General features: G+C 51.2%; 1 protein-coding gene across 2 annotated transcripts in view, besides 1 other annotated feature; it reads left to right on the top strand.

Moving 5' to 3' along the window:
- Positions 1-25,339, top strand: part of PKP1 (plakophilin 1) — a 49,484-nt gene that overhangs the window by 12,139 nt on the left and 12,006 nt on the right. Inside the window, exons 3-8 of one of the 2 annotated variants that reach the window (NM_000299.4) lie at positions 17,522-17,916; positions 20,909-21,053; positions 21,928-22,135; positions 22,974-23,151; positions 24,172-24,234; positions 24,623-24,737. In NM_000299.4, the coding sequence (NP_000290.2) occupies positions 17,522-17,916; positions 20,909-21,053; positions 21,928-22,135; positions 22,974-23,151; positions 24,172-24,234; positions 24,623-24,737 (1,104 nt within the window). The remainder of the gene's footprint in view (positions 1-17,521; positions 17,917-20,908; positions 21,054-21,927; positions 22,136-22,973; positions 23,152-24,171; positions 24,235-24,622; positions 24,738-25,339) is intronic. The other variant, NM_001005337.3, reaches the window with a different exon arrangement.
- Positions 7,145-7,650: an enhancer, noted in NCBI's record as "H3K4me1 hESC enhancer chr1:201271917-201272422 (GRCh37/hg19 assembly coordinates)". NCBI's record gives its function as "activates a minimal SCP1, AML or CMV promoter by ChIP-STARR-seq in primed H9 embryonic stem cells {active_cell/tissue: H9 hESC(primed)}" and the evidence as "EXISTENCE:reporter gene assay evidence [ECO:0000049][PMID:30033119]".

The raw sequence follows: 25,339 nt of genomic DNA on the forward strand, positions 1-25,339 counted from the left end.
GAGGCTTAGGTTCTAGTCCTAGTTCTGCCCCTCTCTGGCTCTGTGACTTTAGATAGTTTAATTTCTCTGGGCCTCAGTTTTCTCATCCATAAAAAGGGAATGATGATACTCGTGTGTCTACTTCACTCACGGGTTGATATCAGATGACATTAACTGTGAAGTATTATCAAATGGGTAATGTAACCATGGAAATTTGTAACCAAGAACTGTAAAGGAACTCTTTCGGGGAAGGTGTTTCTAAAGAAAAAAAAAAAATCTTCATTTGGCCCATGTTGAACATTTCACTTCTGGTTAATTAACTCAGTCCTCAGTCATCTCACTAGCTTTTAATGCTCCCAAACTGTCCTCACCCCTCCCTGTGCCCATTTCCTGACAACCAGTGAAAATCTCTTTCCTTCTCCCCACCCTAAGACCCAACCCTCCTTACTCCCTCGCTGGCAGGACTGCAGACATGACTCATGGCAGGGTAGCTGCTGAGGCACGTCCCATCTCCTTTCAGTTCAGGAGAGGCTGTGGGAAGAGGGAAGAACTGAGCACACATGAAGATTTGGCAGAGGGAGGAGGCCAAGTAGGGAGGAAGTGGAATAATTGATATTGGAGCCAGACATATAATCAGATGAAACCTGGGCAAAACCAAACGAGGTCCAGACATAAGGAGAAGGAGAGCAGGCGAAAAGGCAATAGAGATCTGTGGCATGAGATAATCCTATGTCCGTGGGATTTTCCCATGGATGGTACAACTGGCACAGGACGATGTTATTCCTCCCCTCTGGTGAAACCAATATGGCAGCAGAAGGCAGGGAGGGTGGGGAGGAGGGTGTAGTTTGTCTGCACAAGCATCATCAGCATATTTTCAGGAGCTTCTGAGAGCTGATGAAGGATCATTTGCTGCAGATACTTTATATTCACTCGGTCAGCCAACTTGTATTGAGCAATTGCTGGGGCACAGCAGTGAGTGAGGTGCGCTACAGAAACACAGTTGAAAAGAATCTGACTTTGCCCTCAATGAACCTGCAGTCAAGTTAGAAGCACAGAGGTCAACAGACAAATAAGATAAAGGCATTAGTTTCTGTACTGGAGCATAACACCAATACTGCCATTGCTCAGAATGTTTCTAGAACCCCTAAAAGTTCAGAACTGTCTTCAGCATCATTTCAGGAGCCAGACAAGAAAACCAGTCTCATTTCTTTATTGTCATGACCTGGGTTTGACCAGAAACAATATTACTCACTTGGAGCACCTCACTCCTCAGATCTGGCTCTAGTTCTAAATATCAAACCATTCTCAAATAGCAAAGCTTTGTCACCTCCTATACATATCTCATTTAAATATGTAAAGGATCTGTAGGCAATTCCAAAAAGAAGGCTCTAAAAATATTTAAAAAGCAATGGTCGTACCTTATAGTTTTACCTTATAGTCTATATCAATAATAGCCTTGTAATTAAAAAACAATCATCATACTATTTATAATCTATGATTATTCACATCACAAATTGAATGTAGAGAGACTTTCTTATAATAAAATAAAACTTAAAACAAAGATAGTGTGACACACAAAAAGCATCTAGGGGCTTAAGGAAAATAAAAGACTGCTCCAAAGAAAGTCATTGGCCCAGTCCATGTTCTGCTCTCTGCTGGCCACCCCAGCCTCCTCCTCCTTCAGGCAGAAGGATCTGCTGGAGGACAATGTTGGAACCTCAGAGCCCCACAGACCTCAGGGAGAGGAAGCAGCTGGTGAGATGGAGCAAAAGATGGGGCAGGTTTTAGCCTCGCTGCCTGGTTTCTCAGCTGCATACTCAGCTATGCTCTTCTGGTTCTCAGCACCAAACCTGTAGAATATTAGAGCCCAACACTGTTTGCATTTTACAGTTGAGGAAACGCAGGCCCAGAGAAGAGAAATTACTCCTTGAAGGCCACACAGCTGGTTACTGGTACAGCGGACTAGATCTCTGACCTCGTAACTCCTAACCTAGTGGAGTTTGTTTTCATTACCCCAGACATTTGCACTTCTTATGACTGCCATTCTGTGGGTTTCCACAATCTCAATATTTGAACGTTACAACTAAACACTAAACACTAAAGTTTAGGGATCTGCAAGACACTCATGAGTCTGAATCCCTCCATTTCCTCCCTTCCCATCCCCTCCAACCAGGCCTACTCTCACCATGGGGAGTCAGCCTAGCTCAAAAGAGGCAGGAGAGAAGCTCTGTTTTTCCCTTCCTAGACTGAGGCTGGGTTCACTTGGGTATAAGCATTAATGGGTTTCAGGGCAGGGTTACCAGATAAAATACAACAAAATACAATAATTGAGACATGTCTTAACTTAGAAATTATTTGCTGTTTATGTAAAATTCAAATATAACTACATGCCCCGTCTATCTATTTGTTAAATCTGGCAACCCTCTGTCACTATGTCTCCCCACTCATTCCTGTGATAAAAACAACACTCCTTTACGTGCTCCTCTCCTAGGCTAGGGACCCAGCAGAATTACTTTAGGCTGCAGCATTTCTGGTGAGAAAAGGAGGATTTTTGTCCCATCTTAGTTGTCCTTGTAATATGTCCCTTGAATATCTTCCTCTGGGTCAGCAAAGACGAGGATGCGGGGAATAGAGAGCTGGAGCCATGGAAAGGCACAGCCCTTCAACTCCAAAGCTGAAAACAGGCCTTGATCACATGGGTTTGTCCTCAGTGAAGCTGAGGCGTGTGGACAATTTTGATTTCCAGGGAATGGTTCTGGATTAAGATGACACTCCTTTTGTCTATCATCTTCAGCTCCAAAGGGTTTACTTATTTTTAAATCAAGAAGTGCACCCTGAGCACTTCTTCTGGGAGTCCTACCAAGTAAAAAGTTCTTAGGTGGCAGATTGCCCTACACCACCCTGCTCAGGATCTAATCAGTAGAGAGGAAAACCACTGAGGCATCATCAGAGGGAGGTCTGGAACAGGGTGACCATGGTGACTGCCACATTGAATCACTCAGTTAAATCCAGCCTGGCATGCCTAAGAGTGAGAACTCCCAGAATATAACAAGGGAGAATTCTGTCTTTGTCTTGGCATTGTCCTATTCATTGACCCCATTTCTCCTCTTTAACGCAGGACTTACTAGCAAATCTTTCTTCCAGCTTCTTCTCAGTTGTACTTGCCTAACTGATATGTCTGTATTTGACGATCCCATTGTGACAGAGTCTTGTGGACAATGTGCTAGGGGCCCTTACCCTAAGGAGAACTGATCTTGGCCACCCTAGACCTGAAGAAATGTGGATGAAGCCTCTGTTACAGATGAGAGGACTGGGGTTGCATCACACTCCAGCAGGGGATGGGAAAGCCAAGCACAGTGCTCCCCAGGTTGGTGGTTCACCCTCAGTCACAGCCATGCTAATCGAGTGTCCACAAGGGCAGAGCCATGGGCCAGGTACTGCAGAGGGGCTGCCGGGGAGAAACACGGTAGGACTCCTACCCTAGCAGCAGCAGAAACAGACTGTCCTTACCAATCCGCAGTCAACAGAGGCCATGCCCAGAGACAGCCCGGAGTGGAGGAATAAGCCCTGGACTTTGGCCAGGAACTTCACTAGCCATGTGACTCTTAGTCAAGTCTGCTCCTTAACTAGCTGTGTGACTCTAGTCAAGTTCTTAATCTAGCTGAACCTCAGCTTGCTTATCTCTGAAATGGATGAAAATTCCTGTCTCAAAGAGCAGTATGAAGTTTATGGATGTGACATACCAGATCAGCAGTGGGAGGCGTGGATTCCAGTCTCAGCTGGGCTGCTACAAACTGAGGGATCTGGAGTGGACTTCACCTCTCTAGACCCTGGCTTTCTCAATTATGGAGCAAGGCAATTGGACTAAAGCACAGCCAAGGACTCACTTAGGGTTGCATGTGGCTTGAGAGCTGACTCTGAGTAGCTACAGGGAGCTAAAGTCTGTGTGCTGGTCCCTCCAGGGTCAGAGGTAGTGTTAATTCCTCCAGCCCAGATTTTTGCTTCAAGCCTACAGATGGATAAAAGCTTCTTAATTTCCTCTTTGCTTTCATCTGAGCACTCCAGGCACCAGGAAAACAGCAGTTAGTTAGCCCTTGCAACAGGATGAAAAGATGGTAGGACTTCATTTACTTTAGCTTCACAGACAGGGAAACTGATGCACAACAAGTAGCTCTGCTGAGTAACTACCCTAACTTAAAACAGACCCAACTCCCTCTTTCCAAACCATGTGTCTCAGCTCCAAATGCCACTTTCTAGGTGTATGAGCTGGGTTCCTTCGGCAGTGCCTGCCGGGCCTCTCGTCTTTTCTTGAAAAGTCCAGGTGAGGGACTGATAGTAGACCACAGCCTCCTACTCCCAGGCAGGCATGGATCCTGCTCCAAGAGGGAGCAATTGATGTGTTTGCCAACTCAGTGTCCCCGCTGCCAACTCATGACTCACCCCCACCCAGCCCTGGGAGATAGGAGAGTCCTACAAGGGCCCCAGGCTCTCACCCCAACAAGAAGAGGCAATGATCCTACTTGCCAAGGGACAGAATGTGCCTCTGAGAGAAAATGGAGGCAAGTGAGCGGGAGCGGGCGGGCCGGCTCCAGGGGCACCCCTCCCTGTGGAAGGAGCATGCCGTGTGCTTTCACAGACAAACTGCTGCCACTGGGACACTCCCTGTATTAAACTGAAGGAGAAGCCTATGGCAAACACTGGTGTCTGGGTACTCCTTGGGAGGGGCCCTCCTTTCTAAGCCACAGTCCATCAGAGTGGCTCTGCTTCCCCTAAGAAGCTTCTGTTGCCCTTAGGGTTGGGCTGAGCTCGGGGAGCTTCCTTTCTGGGCTTGCTCTCCCCTCCATGGCAGGTGAGTTGAGGCTCTGCCTCCTGGCTGAGGACTGGGTAAGCCAGGGAGGCCCCTTTAGAGCCCAGAGAGAATGTGGAGAAAAGGAACAAACATTGGTCTGAGGGCTGGTTTCCCGTGACTGTGTTGGGGACTCCTCTTCTGCTGGGCCTCAGGCTTATCATCAGCAAGACTAGATGGTGGCTCAGACCACCTCCTTGTAACTCTGACGTCTGGCTTCTGTGTCCCTCTTTTGGGGAGAGAAGTCAGAGAATGGCCCCATGTCAGCAGCATGGGCTTGCAAAGGGAGGAGGACACGGTTCCAGTGAACAAATGCAAGTGGTGTCCTCCAAGGGCAAGCTCCAGGTGCAGGAAGTCGGGATCGGCTCCTGGAGGAGCTGAGCTTTGAACTGAGTGTGCAAGGAGAGAGGGCTGCCCTTAGCAGACAGGATGGAGGGCAGAGCAGGAATGCCCCTAGGTCTGGACTGTGGTCTGAGAGTACCTTGCTGACTGTTCACAAAGCATAGGCATCCCCTGCAAGGAGGGCAACTGGTTCCATGTTGCCAGCTCCTGAGGTCTCCTAAGCCTCCCAGGCCTTCATCACAAACCCACAACAATGCTCCTCAGGGCCGAGTGAGCACGCTGGCCCCTCCATCCTCCTGCCCCAGGGAGGAGCACCAGACCCAGGAGAGGGCAGACTCCCACCAGTCACTGTCCTGATAGTGTGGACCCTTGTAGAGGAATGGAGAGGGAAGGCCAGGGCAATTTGGTCAGGATGTGCAGGGAGACTTGTCACTGCTAAGGGACTCAGTGTGGCAGCTGCTTAGCAAGTGGGGAGCACCAAGCTTTGGCAGCCCAGGATGCGATCAGCAGCGGATCCTTCTCAGGATGTCTGCAGGAAGGAACTCCACTCTCCCCAGAGACAACAGAAGCCAGTTCTCCTTCCTTTAGCTTCACTAATCAACAACTAATCTTCCTCCATCATTTCCATTCATGTTGTGTAGAGCTCTGAGTTGATGGCTAGGCTGGGAACACTTATGCTTGGATGGGCCTGGGGCTCGATTTCTTCCATTCTGATGAGATACTGTGAGGCAGACAATTCCCTGGCCACAGAGAATGGAATTCTGTCTTCTCCGGAGAAGGAAGCTTCTGGATGAGTCGGCTGTTGCTCTCTCCCCTTCTCCCCTAATATGAAACTTTAGAGAGAAGATTTGAAGAATCAAGGATAATTATAAACTTTTTTATTTTGCCCCAGCAGAAATTGGTGGAGTTTCATTTTGGGCTTTTTTTTTTTTCTTTTGGCCCTGACAAAAACTAATCTACTCAACCAACCAGTATTTAAAGTCCTTACGCTATAGTTGAAAACAAATAACAGACAAAACAACAGCACAAGAAGATATAATTAAAAGCTAAATTTTGCAGCACACGCTAACTTAAACCTCTCCAGGCCTCGGTTTCCTCATCTGTCATTGAAGGCGTGGGACCAGATGACCTCCAAGCCTTGCTTCCCCAGCTTCAGTTCTGAGTCTTGGACATCTGGGGAGGGGGTCTTGGGTTCTGGATGAGCCGCAGGTGGTGGCTTTCGAGCCTGTTTCAGCTGCGCTGTGTCCTCAGTCAGCTCTCAAGGGAGAAGTGCTCCAACCCGCGGCACCTGGTTATTTAATAATCCCTTGAATTAGTGTAGCATTTTGAACTTGTACAAACTGCTTGTGTTTTCATCTCCTGACTTGATCCTTCAGTCTTTGTGAGCTCAGTAGGTGGACCAAGCTTTGTTATTCTCATTTTATTTGCAGGGAAATCAAACCACAGAAAAGTGTAGGGGCTTGCCTGTGACCTCACAGATAGATCTGGCAGAACTGAGTCTGGACCCCAGTGGACTTTGAGCGGGGTGTGAAGAGCAAGAGGAGGGAGGGACCTAGAAGGGCAGGGGGAGAAGTGGGCCAAGCCTCTCCTGCTGGCCAAGTTTCGAAGCCAGCAAGCAGGGCATGGGATTAAGTCATCAAAATACAGTCCTGGGGGTATCTTCTGGTGCCTTATTTCTGCTTTGAGAGTTTTCCTTTTGTCACTAGACTCAGCGAGACAAATGCAGCAGAATTTCCCAAGCGGGTGGAAGAGCCGTCCCCACCCTTTGCAAGGGTGAGGCTCTACTTTCTCCCCCAGGGCCCTGGCATGTCTCTACGGAAGCCTGCCTGCCCCAGGAGAGCAAACTCAGCTGAAAACAAAATCAGCTCAGGCACGGGGAGGGGACGGGGGATCTGTAGAGACACAGGTGGGGAGAAAAGCAGCTCTAGACCCGGAGCCCCTCCCCTCCCGCCCCCACAGCGTGCCCAAGGGCGAGGCCTGGAAGGGGATGAAGACAGGCTGGGAAGGAGGCCGCTTGTGACTTCAGCAAGGGGTGAATCACAGGCTGCCGAACTGCCGAACTGCCTTCCTTCAGAAGAAGCCTTACAGGGCATGCTGTGGTTGGGGAAACTGAGGTTCAGAGAGGCGAGGCGACGGCCTGAGGCTGCACAGCTAGGCAGGGGAGACCAAGACTGGAGCATGGTCTCCTGACTCCTGGCTCAGGGCTCCTGGTCACACTGGCACATCATGGTACTTTTGCCACTACGGGCAATCATGTTTCCCAGACATTCGTCATTTGCATTCTACTGTCACAATTTTTGCAAAATCATACCAACTATTATTTACTTATTTTTAAGGGAATTACTTATCAGTTCCACTGCACTTATTTATTTATTCATGTATTTATTTTAGAGACAGGGTCTCACTATATTGCCCAGGGTGGTCTTGAACTCCTGGATTCAAGCAATCCTCCCGCCTCAGACTTCCAAGTAGCTGCAACTACAGGCACGTGCCAGTTTTAGAGATGGGGTCTCACTATGTTGCCCAGGCTGGTCTTGAACTCCTGGGTTCAAGCAATCCTCCCACCTCAGACTTCCAAGTAGCTGGAACTACAGGCATGTGCCACCATGCCCAGCTATTCCAATGTATTTATTTTGAAAGGAAACTTTATATCACTCACCCAAATGACAAAAACCGGTATCTTTTGCCACAAATGAAGGCTAACCACAACCTTGGTAATCAATTATAATAAATAGAATAAAAACATAACATTAATTCTAGCTAGGTACTTTTACCTGGCAGAAAAGTTTTATTTTTTTGTTTGTTTGTTTGTTTTATTTTGTTTTTTCTTAAAAAGAGAGGTTGGCAAATATTAAATAAATATATTAACACCCAGCTAGACTTTCTCCCTGTGGTAATCAAAATGGGAAAAAGAAGTCCTTTCTATGAGTTTCAATGTTAGATATTGCTGTGTCCTTGATTTCCCTGGAGTCACCCCACAGCCACCAGTAGTGTGTTGCCAGCACTTGGGGGAGATTCCGGGTCATATGCTAATGGCTCAGGATAATTTTCCCAAAGCAGGCAAGGTAGGAGAGCTGAGGTCCTAAGAGCAGAGCCATGAAGTAGAGCCCTCTCCCCTCACCGAGGTGACCTGCCCCACGCCTGGCTGAACACTTTTTTAACTGGCACATTTAAGGTGGATGTTTCTGACTGAGCACCTACAGTTCTCTGGACTCACCAGGGTCTGCTGGGTGCTATGCCCTGTGGGAGGATTGCCCTCTGTGGCCAACCTGGAGAGGGCCCCCAGGAAGTCCCTAAGCTTCTTTCATATCTACCTAGGGTCCTAATCAGCTCTCAGGAGGCCCCACAGTGCTGGGATCTGAGTTGGGGTGCTCACGGGTAGCCAGGGACCCATTCCTCCCTCCTCCTCCTTCCTGGCCACGCCAGAAGCTCAGCAAGACTGAACTAATTCCAGAAGATCCAGGGCTCAGCTTCAGGTACCAGCTTTAACACTAGTCCCTGTTTTCTCAGCCCCAGTTGTGTGTGCTCAGTGGTGCGTTTAGAGTACCACTAAGGGTGGCTGGAGAGGAACCAAACAGTCACATTCCCATCACTCACTGCACCTTCATTCTCATGGTCCTGGCCAGGACAGAACAGTTATCATGACCACAAGGTCTCCTTGCCCACAGGCCTGGCATCCCTTGGGACAGATGGTCTTCCAGCCCAGGTCTTTGGGCATTAGAATTGTGACACATAGCTAAGCAACTACACACTTCTTAAATGTCTTCAAGAACCTCCCACAGTTGGCTCAAAGAAGAAGGGCTGGCACCTCCTGTGTCTAGAACCACTGGGGATGGGGTCTTCCAGGAGTCGGGGCCAGCAACTGGCCAGAGATGCTAGAGTTTCTGTAGAGGGCCCCCTAGCTATAGAGACTCTTTGCCCTGTAGGCTTTGTTTGTGTCACCAGACTCTGGTAGCAGAGTGGCTGGAAGAAAATCACTGTAAGAGACACCAAAGACCTGAGTCCTGGCTTAGGGTCTGCCCCATCTTAGCTGCGTGGCCTTGGACCAGCCTAAAGTTCTCTGAGCTTAATATGCTCACAAACAGAACAAAGCTGCTGCTCTCTGCCCTGCCACCTCATTGGCCAGCTGGGAGATAATCACAAGGTGATGAACGGGGAAGCCCTCTGCACACTGGGAAGTGCCACACCAGTGATGGTGTTCAGGATATGCTCAAGCAACTTCCAAAGACCTTCCCTACCTGAGTCCACTTTGGGCATGGGATGTGTGTCCCACGTGGGCAGGTGGGGAGTGCATATAGAAGTGTGTGTCCGTGTGTGTGAGCATGCATGCACGCATGCTTCTCTTCCAAAGGTGAGATCTCTTACCCAAGCACTGAAGGTCCCAGTCAAGTGTCTCTCCCTTCATGTAAAATTCTTGACTAACAGGCCAGGCACAGTGGCTCACACCTGTAATCCCAGCACTCTGGGAGGCTGAGGCAAGAGGATAACTTGAGGCCAGAAGTTTGAGACCAGCCTGGGCAACATAGGGGGACCCTGTCTCATAAAACAGTTAAAAATCAGCTGGGCATGGTGGTGTGCACCTGTGGTCCCATCTGCTTGAGAGGCTGAGGTGGAAGGATTGTTTCAGCCCAGGAGGTCAAGGCTGCAGTGAGCCATGATGGCAGCACTCCACTCCAGCCTGGGCTACAGATCTGTCTTAAACAAGCAAACAAACAAAAACTGTAACCAGCAGGAGTGGTTTCTTTCCACTGTTGGGTCTCCAGGGACCTCTTTTCTGGGCCAGGTAAGCACCTGCCCTTCAGGATGCTGCCACCTCCCAGCCTTTGGCCCTCCTCTTCCCAGGGCTGGGAAGCACCTCCTGTTCCAGTGCATGGGGTGGCTCTGGGGCCAGCCAGCCTCTCCCTCCAACTTCCCAGTATAGGGTGGGGGGCATCTGGCCCAGTGGGATCTTCCTGACCCTCAAGGGTGCTCTTCTGAGGTGCTGGCTCGTCATCCAGGACTCCAGGAGTTATTTCATATCAGAACGGCCCCCTCAGCTTTCCCTCTTCATGATGAACCATCACTGGGACAATTGAACCAGCCTCTGGGTTTGAAAGCCAGGAGCTATGACCTCAGAACATGGAGCTCCTGGAGGGCAGAATGACCATGCCTTCCACTTCTCTGGGGCCATGGAAGGGAGATGGCTGAGGGCCAGTGGTCCTCCACCACTCGGGCTGTGAGAGCTGCGTCTGAAGTGGCAAACGCCTGCCAGGGATTTCCCTTCCAAAAGGAAACAGACAGGTCTGTGTATGAAACCTTAGGTTCTTGTTTCCAAACCCATCCTAGCAGTGTTCAGAGCTGAGAAAAACCTATTTCTCAGGTGTAGAGGGGGAAAGGTAAAACAGAAACATTTCGGAAAACCTGTTTTTTCCACAGTGCAGTAAATAGGCAAGGAGCAGGAAGTGGAGACAGAGCTGATGCAGGAGCTGGCATAGTTGCGTGTTGATGGAGCACCAGGTGTCGGCTAGGCGCTGGGCTGCACAAGTGCGTGTTGTCCCCACACCAGGCTTAGGAACTGCCATGGACCTGACCTTTGCAGGCAGGCTTAGAGCCTGGAGCCCAAGAGGCTAAGATGCCTTCTTTATCCCAGAATTGTGGCCTCACTGGAGAAAGAAGCATCTTCCCAAAAGACCCGCAAGCTACAAAGTTTTATAGGATATTTTCTACTTAGAAAAGTTGTCCTCAGTTATCCATAGACATTTGTTAATACTGGCATGATTGAAGTATGCTCACAGTTTCTGCTTTTCAAAGCTTATAAGGGATACTGACCATTATTAACCAGATCTCTGGGGAAGTCTCTACTCTGAGGATGGGCACCAAAACTTTTACTTTTTTTTTTTTTGAGACGGAGTCTCGCTCTCTCACCCAGGCTGGAGTGCAGTGGCGCAATCTCAGCTCACTGCAAGCTCCACCTTCTGGGTTCATGCCATTCTCCTGCCTCAGCCTCCCGAGTAGCTGGGACTATAGGCGCCCACCACCGTGCCTGGCTACTTTTTGTTTTTTTTGTATTTTTAGTAGAGATGGGGTTTCATCGTGGTCTCGATCTCCTGACCTCGTGATCCGCCCGCCTCGGCCTCCCAAAGTGCTGGGATTACAGGCATGAGCCACCGCACCTGGACTACATTTTTTTAACATTTAAAAAATTCAGGTGGCAACATGTACCTGCACTGGGCATCAAGGTGTTTATGGCTTCTGCTGTGCCTTCTCTCAGTGGACACTTAGCGACTTCAGTTCAGTAGCACTTAGCAAGTACCTTCTGGAGTTCTCACCTGGGTGGGCACTGCTGGTCTCGGGGTGCTGGTGATGGCATTGTGGGTGCAGCTCCCTCTGCCTTTGAGGACCCACAGTGAGGCACACCCACCACACTTCCTCCAAGGCCAAATGGGATTGCTCTGTGTCCAGGCGTCAAGGCTTCTGAGCAATGGGGCTGCTCTGCCCAAAGCAGTGTTCCAGGAAAAGAAAGGAGGGCCAGCCCAGGGTGGAACCCCCTGCTTCTCAGAGAAGGAGCCGTGCCCAGAGAGGTCAGGAGGCAGGGATCGACACTTCCCCTGCTGAAGTCCCATCTGTTGTGACTCAGGCCTCAGTGGTTCCCATGCTGACTCAGACTGCTGAATAAGCAGGCACCCCTACCCCTTTGGGAAGATTCTCGACCGCCTGGAGCCCTGTGTGCCCCATTCTCGGCAGCCTTGCTCGGGGAGCACCTGTGCTCTCCAAACCCCTAGAGAGGGTAGAGCAGAGCCGCTAAGCCACTTGCGAGGTGCCCCTTGTGATGGGTCAGCTCTGCCCAATATCCCAGTCCTGACTGAAATCCCAGCAAGATGAACAAGGGTCACTACATGCCTACTACATGAGAGCCCCTCATCTGGGCACTGAGTGGGGAGTGGCAGGTACTAGGCAAGTCGCAAATGGAACCTGTCTTTGAAAGACTTCTAATCAAGGTTCTTTCTCCAGCAAGCCCTCACCAGGCCTGAGAGGCACGAGGACTCCATGAAACTGTGCGTGCACTCCCTTTCATGAAAAGGGCCTTGGGAGATCACGCTGCTGAAGATGGCCCTGTTGGACACTGCTGGGTGTGTGACTTGGCAAGCAGACCAGGGTGTGTCTCGCTGGAGAACCGGTTTGGCCGGCCCCACCCTGCTGGCAGAAGCTTGGTTTCAAAATGGGCTAATAGCTGGGGACACAGACACTCTTTTCATCATACCCAGCTCCCAAGGAGTCCAGCAGCTTCTGTCTGTCCAGCTAGAGTTGGATAGAATTCTCTGGGCTCAACCACCCAGCTGCTTTGCTCAGGTCAAGCGGTAAAGGGAAGCATTCTGGACATCACAGCTGGACCCCATGCCGTGCACCGGCACAGGCTGCCTCACCCTGCCTAGAACGGCCCTACCTACCGCCAGCCCACTTTACTCATGGTGCCTTCTCTCTCTTCTGTGCCCTGGAGGCCATGGGAACTGCAGTGCTGTCAGCATCCTGAATCTCCACCCCTAGCACAAATTCTCACAGTCACAGTCCACCTTTCACTGAGCTCTTGCTGTGAGCTCAGCCCTGTTTTAGGCATCTTTGCCCTGGAGAGCTCAGGGAAATGACAGAAACCTACATTAGCAACTAGAAAACAAACAAGACCAGAGGCCCCTGGCTTTAAGGGCAAATAATTCCAACTCTGGTCATTATGGAGACAGGGCTGGGTTAGAACAGGCCTTTTGGAGATGACAGGTGGAGAAGAGGCCTTAGATAAATGTAGGATTTGGGAGGCTGCAGGTGAGGAAAAGCTGTCCAGGGTGGAGGAGCATCTGAACAGAAGCAGGGAGCCTGGGATGTGGCTGAGGTCATGGGGCAGCTTAGAGGGGTGTGCTGGGGAGGGGAAGAGATGGCTGGACAGGCAGGGTGGGGCTGGGCTGGGGAGTTTGTCTTGTAAGGAGCAGACACTGTAGGTTCTCCAGCACGGCAAGAGCTGATGAAAGCTTTCCCTAAGGAAGGTGGAGTGATGGCATCGCAAGGCAGGGACCAGAGCCCTGGGGGCTGGGCAGGGGCCAGTGGGGGGCACTGGAGTGGCCTGGTGGTAAGCTGATGGGACCCGGAGTCAGAGCCTGGGCAGTAGGGGTGTAAAAGAGGGGAGTCAGTAAGGACTCTCTAATGGAAGGACAGGAGGATGCCATCTCTTTTTGAATGGTTAGTTACTGCCCTATCCGATGATTTGGGCAAGCTGGAGCTTTTCCAGCTTTGGGGGCCACTCCACACTGAATGGCTCTCTCAAGGGGCAACTGGTCATATTCAGTTCTTTGAGGCCCTGGATCTGGGGCTTGTATTGCTTCACTGAGACTGTCTCCTTGCCTATAAAGGAGGGGTTGGCCTCTGAGAGCTTCCTGACTTAATGAGGGACAGGAATAGAGGGGAGCTTTCAGTGTGGGGTTAAAACACCCCACTTCTCCAAGAAGGAAGGGGAGAAGGGGAATTACACAAGCAGGCGGCAAAGCGGGGACTGGCTGGGGGGCTCCTAGCTAAAAGCAGCTTTTCCTGGCTCACCTCGGGCTGTGGGACCCCTCAAAAGCCCCACTGGTCTCCCAAGTGAAGAAACATGTCTCTCAGAATGCTCTGGATTTCTGTCTGGCTGTCCAGTCTAGCCTGCTGTCTGGCAGAGTGACCAACTCTGCTCTCAGGAAATTGAGTTTCCAGCCTCTGGAATGTTCTGATCCATGGGATAACCAGACAAGAGGTTGTGTGTGTGTCACTGTCCTTTGTATTCAAACAGCCAGACGCTGCCAGCAGATTGCTATCTGAGTGTGGGGGTGTGGCTGGGAGAGCCGGCATTGGCGGTGAAGCTCTCCCACCTGCAGCGGGCGCACGTGCACTGCCCGTGCATCCTCTTCTGGCTGCAGCTGCTCTCTCGGGACCTGGAAGACAGTGTTTGGAAACGTGTGGGGACATTTTGCAATGACTGTGAGGCATTACTAGCATTTAGAACCTGGAGGCTGGGGCACTAAACATCCTGCCATGCTTGGGACAGCCTATACAAAGAATTGTCCTGCCTCAGGTGCCGACAGCACCCAAGTAAAGAAACACTGCACCATTCATCATAAAGCCTGGCTTCACTCGAAGTGCCCCATCTGGGCAGACCATGCTCCTCCACTTTTCTGAGACATATTTAGACCCATTCTATGTCTGTGGGGTGAGACTAGCACGGGGCTCTGATACTGGTGCATACACTTTCCTGGGCTGTCTTGGCTTCCTGGGTTCATCCTCTCTCTTATGACACCTGGTATCCCATTTAGGTATGTCACAGGTGACATAAAATCTCTCCTTTAGGAGCCAAGTCCTAAGGCAGCCAGCCTGTGCCCAATCTAAGAGTCAGAGGGATATGATGTCCCTACCGAGCAAACACTCATATCGTGGACTGTCCTGAGTGCTTTACTAACATTAGTTCACTGGATTCTCCCAACAATCCTCTATGTTGGCTACAATTATACTAGTTTTACAGATGGAAAAACTGAGGCACGTTGGGCTTAAGTAATTGCCCAAGGCCACCCATTGGGCAACGACAAGGCCAGGCAGGCTGGCTCCAGAGTCTGTGTTCTTGACCTTGGGTCTTCCTCCAGTTTGTAGATCTCAGCCCAGTGAGCTGGAGGAAGCACCTGGATTCCCAGGCAGTTGCTGCCGTTTCAGCCTTCAAGGCTGCAGGCTTCATCCAGGTCCCAGGCCAATTTGTGCAGGGAGAGCTGGTGGCAGTTCACCTCCTTGTGCCTTGGAGGGAATCCAGGCCCCCTCATGGTACTTGGGGAGGACGGGGTCTGAGAGGAGGCTTTACTCCTGCTTGTCAAAGTGACAGCAAAGGGCCATGATGATGGGAGAGAGTCATACCCAGCTGTCCTCAGGCAGCACAGCCCACCAGCACCATGACACTAGGAGCTGGGGTGGGGTTCCCAGGAATGGGTGACGCCACTAGGGTGTGGCTGATGGTGGTAGGCTGGGAAATGCAGTCCCACGGGGATGTCTCTGCCTTCCCCACCTTGCCCGCTCCCCTGCAGGTGCAGCCAATGCCCATTCCCTGTGGGCAGCCCACCCTTGCTGAGACTTGGCAAGGCTGCCAGCTGCTCCTTTTCCCAGCACAGGAAAGCAAAGCCCAAAGCCTCTGAGAGGCTCAATCAGCATGATCACATGTTTGCTGGTTTTGGGCCAGGATGAGTGTTTGGGCTTCTCATTAGGTGTCTGAGATGACGTCCAGGCGTGTCGTTTATGGAGAACAAGGGTGCTCCTTGTTGCATTTCCATTTAAGGCTTAGCTGGCTCTTTGCCCTTTGGCAATGCTGGGCTTCCCCCTCCATGTTGTCATCTGCCACCTTCCTTCCCCTGAGAGGAGAATGGAGGGTGTGGCCATTTGTAAAGGCTTTCATGGCATATTTTGCCTGTAATCTGCAGGACACGCATTCCATACCCAGATGCTCAGAAAATTGCCCAGCTGCTCTCCCCATGCCTTGTGATTGTCCATCTATGCCTCTCCCAACAACCAGACACCAATTCTCTTTGGAGTAGGTTGGTTGACCCAGTTTGGGGAAGAAAATTATGCCTGCCTGAGTGCACAGCTGGGCGTGTGGGTGAAGGGGATGAGCAGGCTATTGCCAAGGTTAACAGTCTGTGGCTTCTGAGTTTTGGATGCAACTTCTGACTGGTGGTTTGACACCCAGTCTTTCTGGGAGCTCAAACCATGGGAGTTTCCTGCTGTCTGTGACTCCCTGCAGAGATGAAAAAGGACCAAGTCGAGTGCCAGCCCCTCCCCAGCTTGTGTGGCTAGATCTGGTGCAGAAGGGAATTACCCAGTTGCCTAACGACCTCCCCTACACACACATACTCTCTCTCTCTCAGGGAGGGGCAGGGGTGGGCGGGCAGGCCCTAGGTTGCTGGGTTTGGCCCTGGCCCATCCCAGCAAAGGTGAGTCCCAAGTCAGCACCTGTGTGGAGATGTTTTTTTATCATACTCGATGTTGATCCTCTACTATGAGAACAAGTTGGAGCAGGCCAGACCCACCAGCTTGTGAGCTCCTGGGAAAGTCCTCCTCGGACAGTTCTGTTCCAGAACTGATTCGCACCAAGTCTCCAACCTCACAGGCCCCTCCCAAGGAGGCCGACTCCCCACTTGGGCTCACACAGAGCTCATGAGGCACCTCATTGTCTGTTGTATGTTTTTGTGCCGGATTGAGCCTCTGCCCAGCTTCTCCCCATTGCCAGCCTGACAACAAAGCCCAGGAGGCCCTCCCTGTACCCCACCTTGCAGCCCCAGGCCTGCCTCCATGTGTGCACGCAGGCCCCTAGCTCACAGTCCCTTGTAAAAGGGCCCAGGGAGCAGGAATATTGTCCCTCTTTGGCCTTTGAGGTGACCTGTTACCCTTTGCTTCTTGCCCTGGAAGAGGGGAGGCAAGATGAAGAGTTTAGCAGAAAAGAACAGTAGAAAACAGTCCTGGCCAGAATAGAAGTTTCTGTGTGCTGAGTATAAGGGGCCCAAGAAGGCTGGCTGTGTGAGAAGCTGCTGGTGTCTGGGAATGGCATAGGGCTTGGAGACCCAGACTCAAGTCCAGGTTTTGTCCTTTCCTCACCGAGTGACTACTAGAAGGTCACTCTTCTCTGGGCCTCCAACTCCCCCTCCTGGACTGTACCATGTGGGACCAGATCAGAGGTTGTCAAACTTTTTTGACAGCAATTCACAGTAATAAATGCGAAGGATTGTTCTGCCTCAGGTGCCGACAGCACCCACGTAAAGAAACACTGCACCATTCGTCATAAAGCCTGGCTTCACTCGAAGTGCCCCATCTGGGCAGACCATCCTCCTCCACTTTTCTGAGACATATTTAGACCCGTTCTGTGTCTGTGGGGTGAGACTAGCATGGGGCTCTGATACTGGTGCATACACCTTTCCTGGGCTGTCTTGGCTTCCTGGGTTCATCCTCCCTCTTATGACACCTGGTAGCTCCTTTAGGTATGTCACGTATGTTGCAACCCAGTACCCATACACTGTTTCACAAAACAATGTGTGACTTTACTACCTGCACTGCACTCTGATATTTTATATTCCAGGATATATTATTCTATTCCATCTTTTTAAAAATGATGGCCATAGTCTTCTAAATTGATTTTATAATCCACAATGGGTCACAGCCTGCAGTTAGAAAAGTAATATATCAGATGATGGCTCAGGTTCCTTCCACGCCAAACATTCTGGGATTCTGTAAGCGTTATTATGGGGGCTGGGGAGGGCTGTATCTCATGCCCTGCTGGATCCAGGACCCCCATTTAGGAACCTTGACTGAGCTTTTCTCCCTTTCCCTGGCCAGATCTACAATGGAACCCTCAAGCGGGAGCCTGACAACAGGCGCTTCAGCTCCTACAGCCAGATGGAGAACTGGAGCCGGCACTACCCCCGGGGCAGCTGTAACACCACCGGCGCAGGCAGCGACATCTGCTTCATGCAGAAAATCAAGGCGAGCCGCAGTGAGCCCGACCTCTACTGTGACCCACGGGGCACCCTGCGCAAGGGCACGCTGGGCAGCAAGGGCCAGAAGACCACCCAGAACCGCTACAGCTTTTACAGCACCTGCAGTGGTCAGAAGGCCATAAAGAAGTGCCCTGTGCGCCCGCCCTCTTGTGCCTCCAAGCAGGACCCTGTGTATATCCCGCCCATCTCCTGCAACAAGGACCTGTCCTTTGGCCACTCTAGGGCCAGCTCCAAGTGAGTGCTGCTGGGCTGGGTTGGGGAGCCAGGAGGGCCAGTGGGGAGACACACCCTTAGCCTGACTGCACCCTGCAAAGGGCTCCTGGGATGACAGGAGAGACATAGCTTCTGTCCCTGGGGAGTTCATTGCCCCTGGTGTAATGGACTCCCTAATGGGGAGAACCTGGCCCCATGGGCCCTTGAACTCAAGAAGTTCTTAGTGTGAAGGTGAAACAGACATTGACTGTGTAGGTTTTAAAGGTCACAGTTTATGAACAGAAAGAGGCTAATAGTTCTCAAAGTGTGTTCCTCCAACCAGCAACATCAGCATCACCCAGGAATTTGTTAGAAATGCTCATTTGGGGACCCACCCAGACCTATTGTCTCAGAAACACTGGGAGAGGGGCCCAGCAATGCATATATTAACAAGCCCTTCAGTGATTCTGATTTACACTAGAGTTTGAGAACCTCTGATCTTAGGCATGTAAATCTCTATCCATGTTCTGAAAGAGCAAAGGAATATGCCCCGGTATGGACGACGGGAATAGAATGGGTTTCAGGTTACGTTATAAGACAGGTAAATCCAAAGGACAAATAGGACAAATAGACATAAAAACTGAGGGACATGGCCTGGGTGTGGTGGCTCACGCCTGTAATCCCAGCACTTTGGGAGGCCGAGGCAGGAGCGGGTAGAGGGTGCTTGAGCTCAGGAGTTTGAGACCAGCCTGAACAACATGATGAAACCTTGTCTCTACAGAAAAATACAAAAATTAGCCAAGCATGGTGGCGGGTGCCTGTAGTCCCAGCTACTCAGAAGGCTGAGGCAAGAGAATCACTTAAGCCCGGGAGGGGGAGGTTGCAGTGAGCTGAGATAGTGTCACTGCACTCCAGCCTGGGCAACAGAGTGAGACCCTGTCTCAAACAAACAAACAAACAACAACAACAACAACAAAAACCCTGAGGGACTTCATGGGGCTTCATGATCTACTGCTACAGAACAGAGCACAACTCCTGTGCATACATGTGGAAGGCCATCACCCAGAGGAAACAAAGGAGACCAAATGGGGTGCCCCGTTAGGAGCCATAGACGCAGAGGTGTCGTGAGTGACACTGAGCCTGCCCTTCAGGGCTGGGGGCTCCCTGAACCTTTGAACTGTCCTTCATCACCACCTACTGCTCTTGTTATTTATTTATTTGGCAAATGTTTGCCGACCATCTACTACATGCCAGGCTCTTTGACAAGTGCGGGAGACACAGCCATGATAGGGACAACCCAGAGCTGTTCTGGAGCTACACAATTAACTCCTTTTCTGAGAGCCTCAGGAGCTTTGCATTCTTCATCTTTAATCCTCACACCCGCCACCAGGCAGGCATGAGTATTCCTGAGGAGAAAACAAGGCACAGAGATGTTAAGTAGTTTGTCCAAGGCCACACAGCTGGCTCTCCATCCTGTGCTCTTCCCTACTGGTACCACACTGTTCTGAAAATAAGCAGAACCCCGTTATAGAGCTAGACGTTTCCGAACTACCTGATGGCCGTAAGGCGTATTTAGGATGATCTGGAGAAGAACTAAGAAACCTCTCTGTCTTGGAGGCTGATCAGGGCAGCCTCTGGCTTCAGCTCATTGTCCCAACCAGAGGCCCTGAGTGGAGGTTCTAGGTGAGATATGGAAGGGATGAGTGTCAAGCCATTTTGGGGTGACATTTTACTGATGAATGCAGGGTGACATTCTCTCAATGCAGGCAGCAGTACTACTTACCCAGTGCCAGAGAACTCTGCACCTCGGGTGGTTTTCCTAGAAATGAAGTTGGGCTGCTATAGCTAAAACCATGGGTATTTATTGACCACCAAGTATGTCAAAGCATAAGGATAGGGCTCCCTCTTTGAATGCTGGACACAGCCAGTCACCACCCTGTGACTCTACACCAGGGGAGCTGGAGAGGTTCTTAGAAGAGAGGTTTCCCTTCCCTAGGAAGGCTTCACAGATGTGGGGCATCAGCAGGGCCAGTGGTGTGCCTTGAGGCATGCCTGAGACCTGGCCAGGGTACAGTGAAGGGGACAGTCTTGCTGGAGCAGACCCTGGATAGGGGCTGGGGAATGTTCATAGTGGAGCCGGGTTATTAGGTTAAAACATATGAAATTTCTGGTTTTATGGCTGAAAAAAGGTTGACTACAGACATTTCCTATGATTCAACCTAATACCTGCCCTTGGACATCAGGCTAAGCTGTTTAAACTTGAACCTGAAGTATGGAGAAGCCGCTGATGGTTTCTGAGCTAGAGAACAACACAGTGAACTGGGTTTTAGAACCACTTATCTAGTAAAAAGGGTATGAAATTTTAGATGGGGGAACTTGAGGAAGAAAGCCAAATATGGAAGTCCCTTGCTGCCTTTAAAGTGATCAAGATCAGGAAATTGGTGGCTATAAGAATGGGAAGAAAGGCTAGATGTGAACATTTTTGTGTAAGAGCCAGCTGGACTTGGGGATGGATAGATGGATGGATAAATGGATGGATGGATGCATGGATGGACAGATGGACGGACAGACGGACGGATGGATGGACAGATGGATGGACGGATGGACGGACGGACGGACGGATGGACGGACGGATGGATGGATGGATGGATGGATAGGATCATGGCCATTGTCTTCCATTTTCCTAATACCAGACACAAACAAGAGAGATGGCAAGGTAGGTGGGAAGCTTCCCCTCAGGGAATAGGGAGGAGTTTTTCCTCAGTGGAGAGATAACATACCTGCTAGGACATTAACTGTGACCAGGGGCTCACTATTCTCACATGGGGCAAATCCAGTGGGTGTAGCCTTCCCTCCTCTGGAGGAGAGGAGCTGTTCCCAGGGGTATTCTCCAAGTGGGCCTGGGCTGCCTTGTTCTGGCTCTCCAGAGGGCAGATGAGGCTGTGGCAGCTTAGTGTGCTGGGAGGAATTCTGAGCCCCCTCAGCAGGGCTCCCAGCCCACCCCGTAACCACCCCCACTGCCTATTCTTCACAGGATCTGCAGTGAGGACATCGAGTGCAGTGGGCTGACCATCCCCAAGGCTGTGCAGTACCTGAGCTCCCAGGATGAGAAGTACCAGGCCATTGGGGCCTATTACATCCAGCATACCTGCTTCCAGGATGAATCTGCCAAGCAACAGGTAGCTGGTTGCATACCTTCCTCCTTGGTGGGCCTGCGGAGGGCCTGGGTGTGTCAGCCTGACTCCGCTTTTAGAGATGGGTGAGGGCATCTGCAGTTGGCTTCTCTTGCCTTGCCCAGCTGCCAGGAGCCTTCGCATTGCCCAAGGTTAGAGCTGGGCATCTTAACTTTCTGCAGAGCAAAGCCCTCTGTTTAAGTGGACATTAGGCAGGTACAATTCCTCCATTGGTCATGGAAGAGACTTCAATGCCAGCCACGGGTTCAACAGAAACCCCTTTTCTCAAATCCCACTAAAGAACATGACTGCTCCTCACCTCTCAACTCCTGCCCTCCTACCTGCTTCCTCTCTCCCACTCCCCTTCTCTCTCCAGGCATCTTACGGTAGAAAACAGGCCTGTTGATGCCTCCAAAGCTTTGCTGGCAGGAAGGACACTACAGGGTTCTTCAGTTCAGCCCAAGGATGTAGTGTCAAAAATGAGTTTCCCAGAGTCCCGGATAAGTTTGTATGCATTTCTATGTCTGTGTTCTGCTTTAGGGTTTTGAAATGTATTTACATCCACTCTCTTATCAGGTCCTCACCATCATTCTCCAGAGGAAGAAAGCAGGACTCAGGAAAGAGGAGGGACCCTAGCTGAGGTTCTCCCAGCTAGGATATGGGAGCTAGGATATGGGAGCTAGGATCTGAATCCAGGTCTTTTGCCTCCGGGTCTGGGTCAGTTATCATGACCTCACACTGCTTATTTATTTTGGTTGACTTGAATATTTCTGAACTGATAGATTTTTTGGTCTGAAAAAAAAAATCACCTTTGAGTAGAGAATAACTAGATCAGCCTCATCTCCCTTGACCAGGCAGCGTGGCAACTCTTTCCTGGCAGGTCTATCAGCTGGGAGGCATCTGCAAGCTGGTGGACCTCCTCCGCAGCCCCAACCAGAACGTCCAGCAGGCCGCGGCAGGGGCCCTGCGCAACCTGGTGTTCAGGAGCACCACCAACAAGCTGGAGACCCGGAGGCAGAATGGGATCCGCGAGGCAGTCAGCCTCCTGAGGAGAACCGGGAACGCCGAGATCCAGAAGCAGCTGACTGGTAGGACAACACGGCCACCGAGAGCCAGCCTGAGGGCTGTGCAAGGCCACTGGCTATGGCCCCAGGCTGGGGTGCAAGCCTGTCTCTCCAGGCTGGGCCAAGACACAGCTGTGCAGATTTGGCCCAGGGCTAATATCCTGAGAGTTTAGTGACACTGGCCTTGGCCCAATTAGGGGTGTCCAGAGGGTGACCTTGGGTGGTGTGCACACACAAGGGGTCACCATCTTTTTGAGGTTAAAGAGCAAAAGGAGGAAGGCTGATGTCCAGGCAAGATCCATATTCCACAAGCCCTGGGATTCCCAGGTGATGGAAAGAGAGTAAGACTGAGGGGAGAAGGGGTTAACAGGCCTTAAGCACCTACCCTGTGTTCAAGAAATATGGTAGGCACTCAAGGTGGGGGGCACAAGAGGAAGAGGTCACCGTGAAGACCTAGAATTGGGCTGGGAAGATCAGACCATGTACAGAGTAATGACTGATAAGTATTTCTGGCATAACTTTCAGATGGAAAAGAGACAGCGTTAGAAGACTCCAAGTGCTAAAATTTATACTAAAAACCACTGATCAATCAAACGTTTTTTGATCACTTTCCACATGCATAATTTTGGCCTTGACAGAGAACTCTGAGATGTTCCCTGCCTGCAAAGAACCTTCAGTCTGGTTGGGGCATTGAGAAATAGCCTCATGACACAGACAGACAATAGGTTCTACAGACCAGGGCTACCTGGAAAGCGACATTTCAGTAGGGCCCATTTGCCAGAGTCCAGGCTGGGGCTGTTACCTCGGTCCCTAGGGCATCCTGAGCCTGGCACAAATTGGGTTGATGGTCTCTGACCCCCAGGGCTGCTCTGGAACCTGTCTTCCACTGACGAGCTGAAGGAGGAACTCATTGCCGACGCCCTGCCTGTTCTGGCCGACCGCGTCATCATTCCCTTCTCTGGCTGGTGCGATGGCAATAGCAACATGTCCCGGGAAGTGGTGGACCCTGAGGTCTTCTTCAATGCCACAGGCTGCTTGAGGTGAGAGAAGAGGATACATGGGGTCTTTTTGTCCCAGCCTTGGGCCCTTCCCCAGGCAGCCCCATCTCAGCCAACATTCAGCCGGTGCATAGAACATAACAGACAACCCGGCACTCCCTCTTATGGGCAGGCTCCAAGACACAGGGACTCAGGCCTTCCTAACTTCCCTGGAACTGGATAAGGCCCAGGACCCTACCACCCCCTTTGAGAGAATGCAGCGGACATTAGTCAGAAATCTGAGCTTGAAAATGCCTAGATCTGAATATCCAAACTGGTTCAACCATTTCCCTCCTCCACCCCATGAAAAAAAATGCATTTCTTGTGCTATCATCTTGAAGAGTGTTCTTTTAGACAAAAGTCTACCGATGGGTTGCTAATGAGTCACTTCCCAGCTGTGGTGTTAAAACCATTTGCCATGTTCATTGGCATGAAGATGGCACTGCTTCACCCAAAGTTGCCTAAGTTCCATACCAGGGTGTGGCAAAGCCCCTGTGGGGCTGGTGGGAGGGCTTGTTCTAGAAGCAGTGGTTTACAAGCTGGCGAAATGGGTGGGTGTGGAGGGGCGGCTGGTACAGGGCTTGGAACCCTGGAGCAGGATCCCTTTTAGGGTCTTTAATGGGGTTTGTCTTGCTTTAATGGGATTTGTCTTTCCCAACTCCTGAGAATCCCCCCAGAGTGGTGGGTGCAGCTGGCATGTGCCTCTGTGTCTCAACTTGTGTTTCTCCCTGCCAGCCTCCGGTAGCAGCCTCCAGGAAGCAGAGAGGCTGGGGAGATGAAAAGTGAGGATAATTAAGAGTTTTATGGGGTTGATGTGCTACTGGTAGCAACAGCAGCCACACCCCACCTGCACCAGGCTGATGAGCCCACATTGCTTGGGGATGAGCCCACATTGCTTGGGAGTGAGCCTACTGCTGGGGGCAGAACACAGCTTGGGTGGAGAGGGAGCTTCTGGTGCCCAGCCCGGCCACCCCCAGATCCACTTCTGATCCAGCATCAACAGGGCTTCTTCCTGTCCCACAGAAAGAGACTGGGCATGCGGGAGCTTCTGGCTCTTGTTCCGCAAAGGGCCACTAGTAGCAGGGTGTGAGCCTTGGGATGCAGCTGCGGAGGGACCGTTGCCACATGGAGCCATTGCCAGTTATAAAGTTACTGGGCAGAGTGAAGGAGGAGAAGAACTGAGTGCAAATGAGACCTCATTTCAGCCTCAGCCAGGGCCAGGCGGAATTGGCTAAATGGTTTCTCTTTCCTTCCGTTTTCATCTTTTCCTCTCTTCATTCCTTTCCTCCCTTTCCTCTTCTCCTTCCTTCCTTCTACCACAACTTCCAATCTCCACCCCGTCGTCTCCTCTCTGCCCTCCCCTCTCCTGCCTGTTCTCTCTCCTGCCTGTCCCCCACCACACTCTCTTGTCCCCACCTTCCCCGTTCTCTCTTCCCCCTTTCTCTGCCCTCTTCCACCCTCTTCTCTCCCCCAGGAACCTGAGCTCGGCCGATGCAGGCCGCCAGACCATGCGTAACTACTCAGGGCTCATTGATTCCCTCATGGCCTATGTCCAGAACTGTGTAGCGGCCAGCCGCTGTGACGACAAGGTGAGTGCATCCCCTGGTGGCACCCTGACCCCTAGGCCCAGCCCCCTACATTTTCTGGGTGCCTTTGAGGCCTGGCCCAGTGACAAGACAGGAGCACAGACTCAGGGGTGGTAGAAGAGGCATCTGGATGCAGGGCTCAGTGGTGGCTACAGGAGTGGGCTCTGGGGACAGCGTGCCCATGCAAATCCACTCTCCCTCACTTAGAAGTGGAGTAGATGCAGCTGCTTCCCTAATCTCTCTGTTTCCCGGTTCACTCTTCACTCTAATGGAAAGGGTCATAATCATATCAACCTCAAGGGTTGTCTGAAAGGCTTGATTAGTTAATAAGCAAAACACGAAGAGGGCCTGGCACAGAGGAAGCTCCCAGCGAGCATCTGCTGGCTGTGCTTCATTGGTGGTGCTGAGGCCTGTCCTGTGACCCCGAGCCCTGCCCCACAGCCCAGAGGAATCCATACTGGTGCCCCCAGGGCTTAGTGTCCCCCCTGAGATGAGGCTCCTTCTGCCACTGCTATCTTCCCACTGCCTCCCAGAAAAGCCATTGGCAGTCATCTTGCTGCCCTCTCTGGACTTCTGGACACACAGCACAGACAAACAGAAAGAAA

Source organism: Homo sapiens, chromosome 1 (assembly GCF_000001405.40).
Source record: "Homo sapiens chromosome 1, GRCh38.p14 Primary Assembly".
NCBI classification, from domain to species: Eukaryota; Metazoa; Chordata; class Mammalia; order Primates; family Hominidae; genus Homo; species Homo sapiens.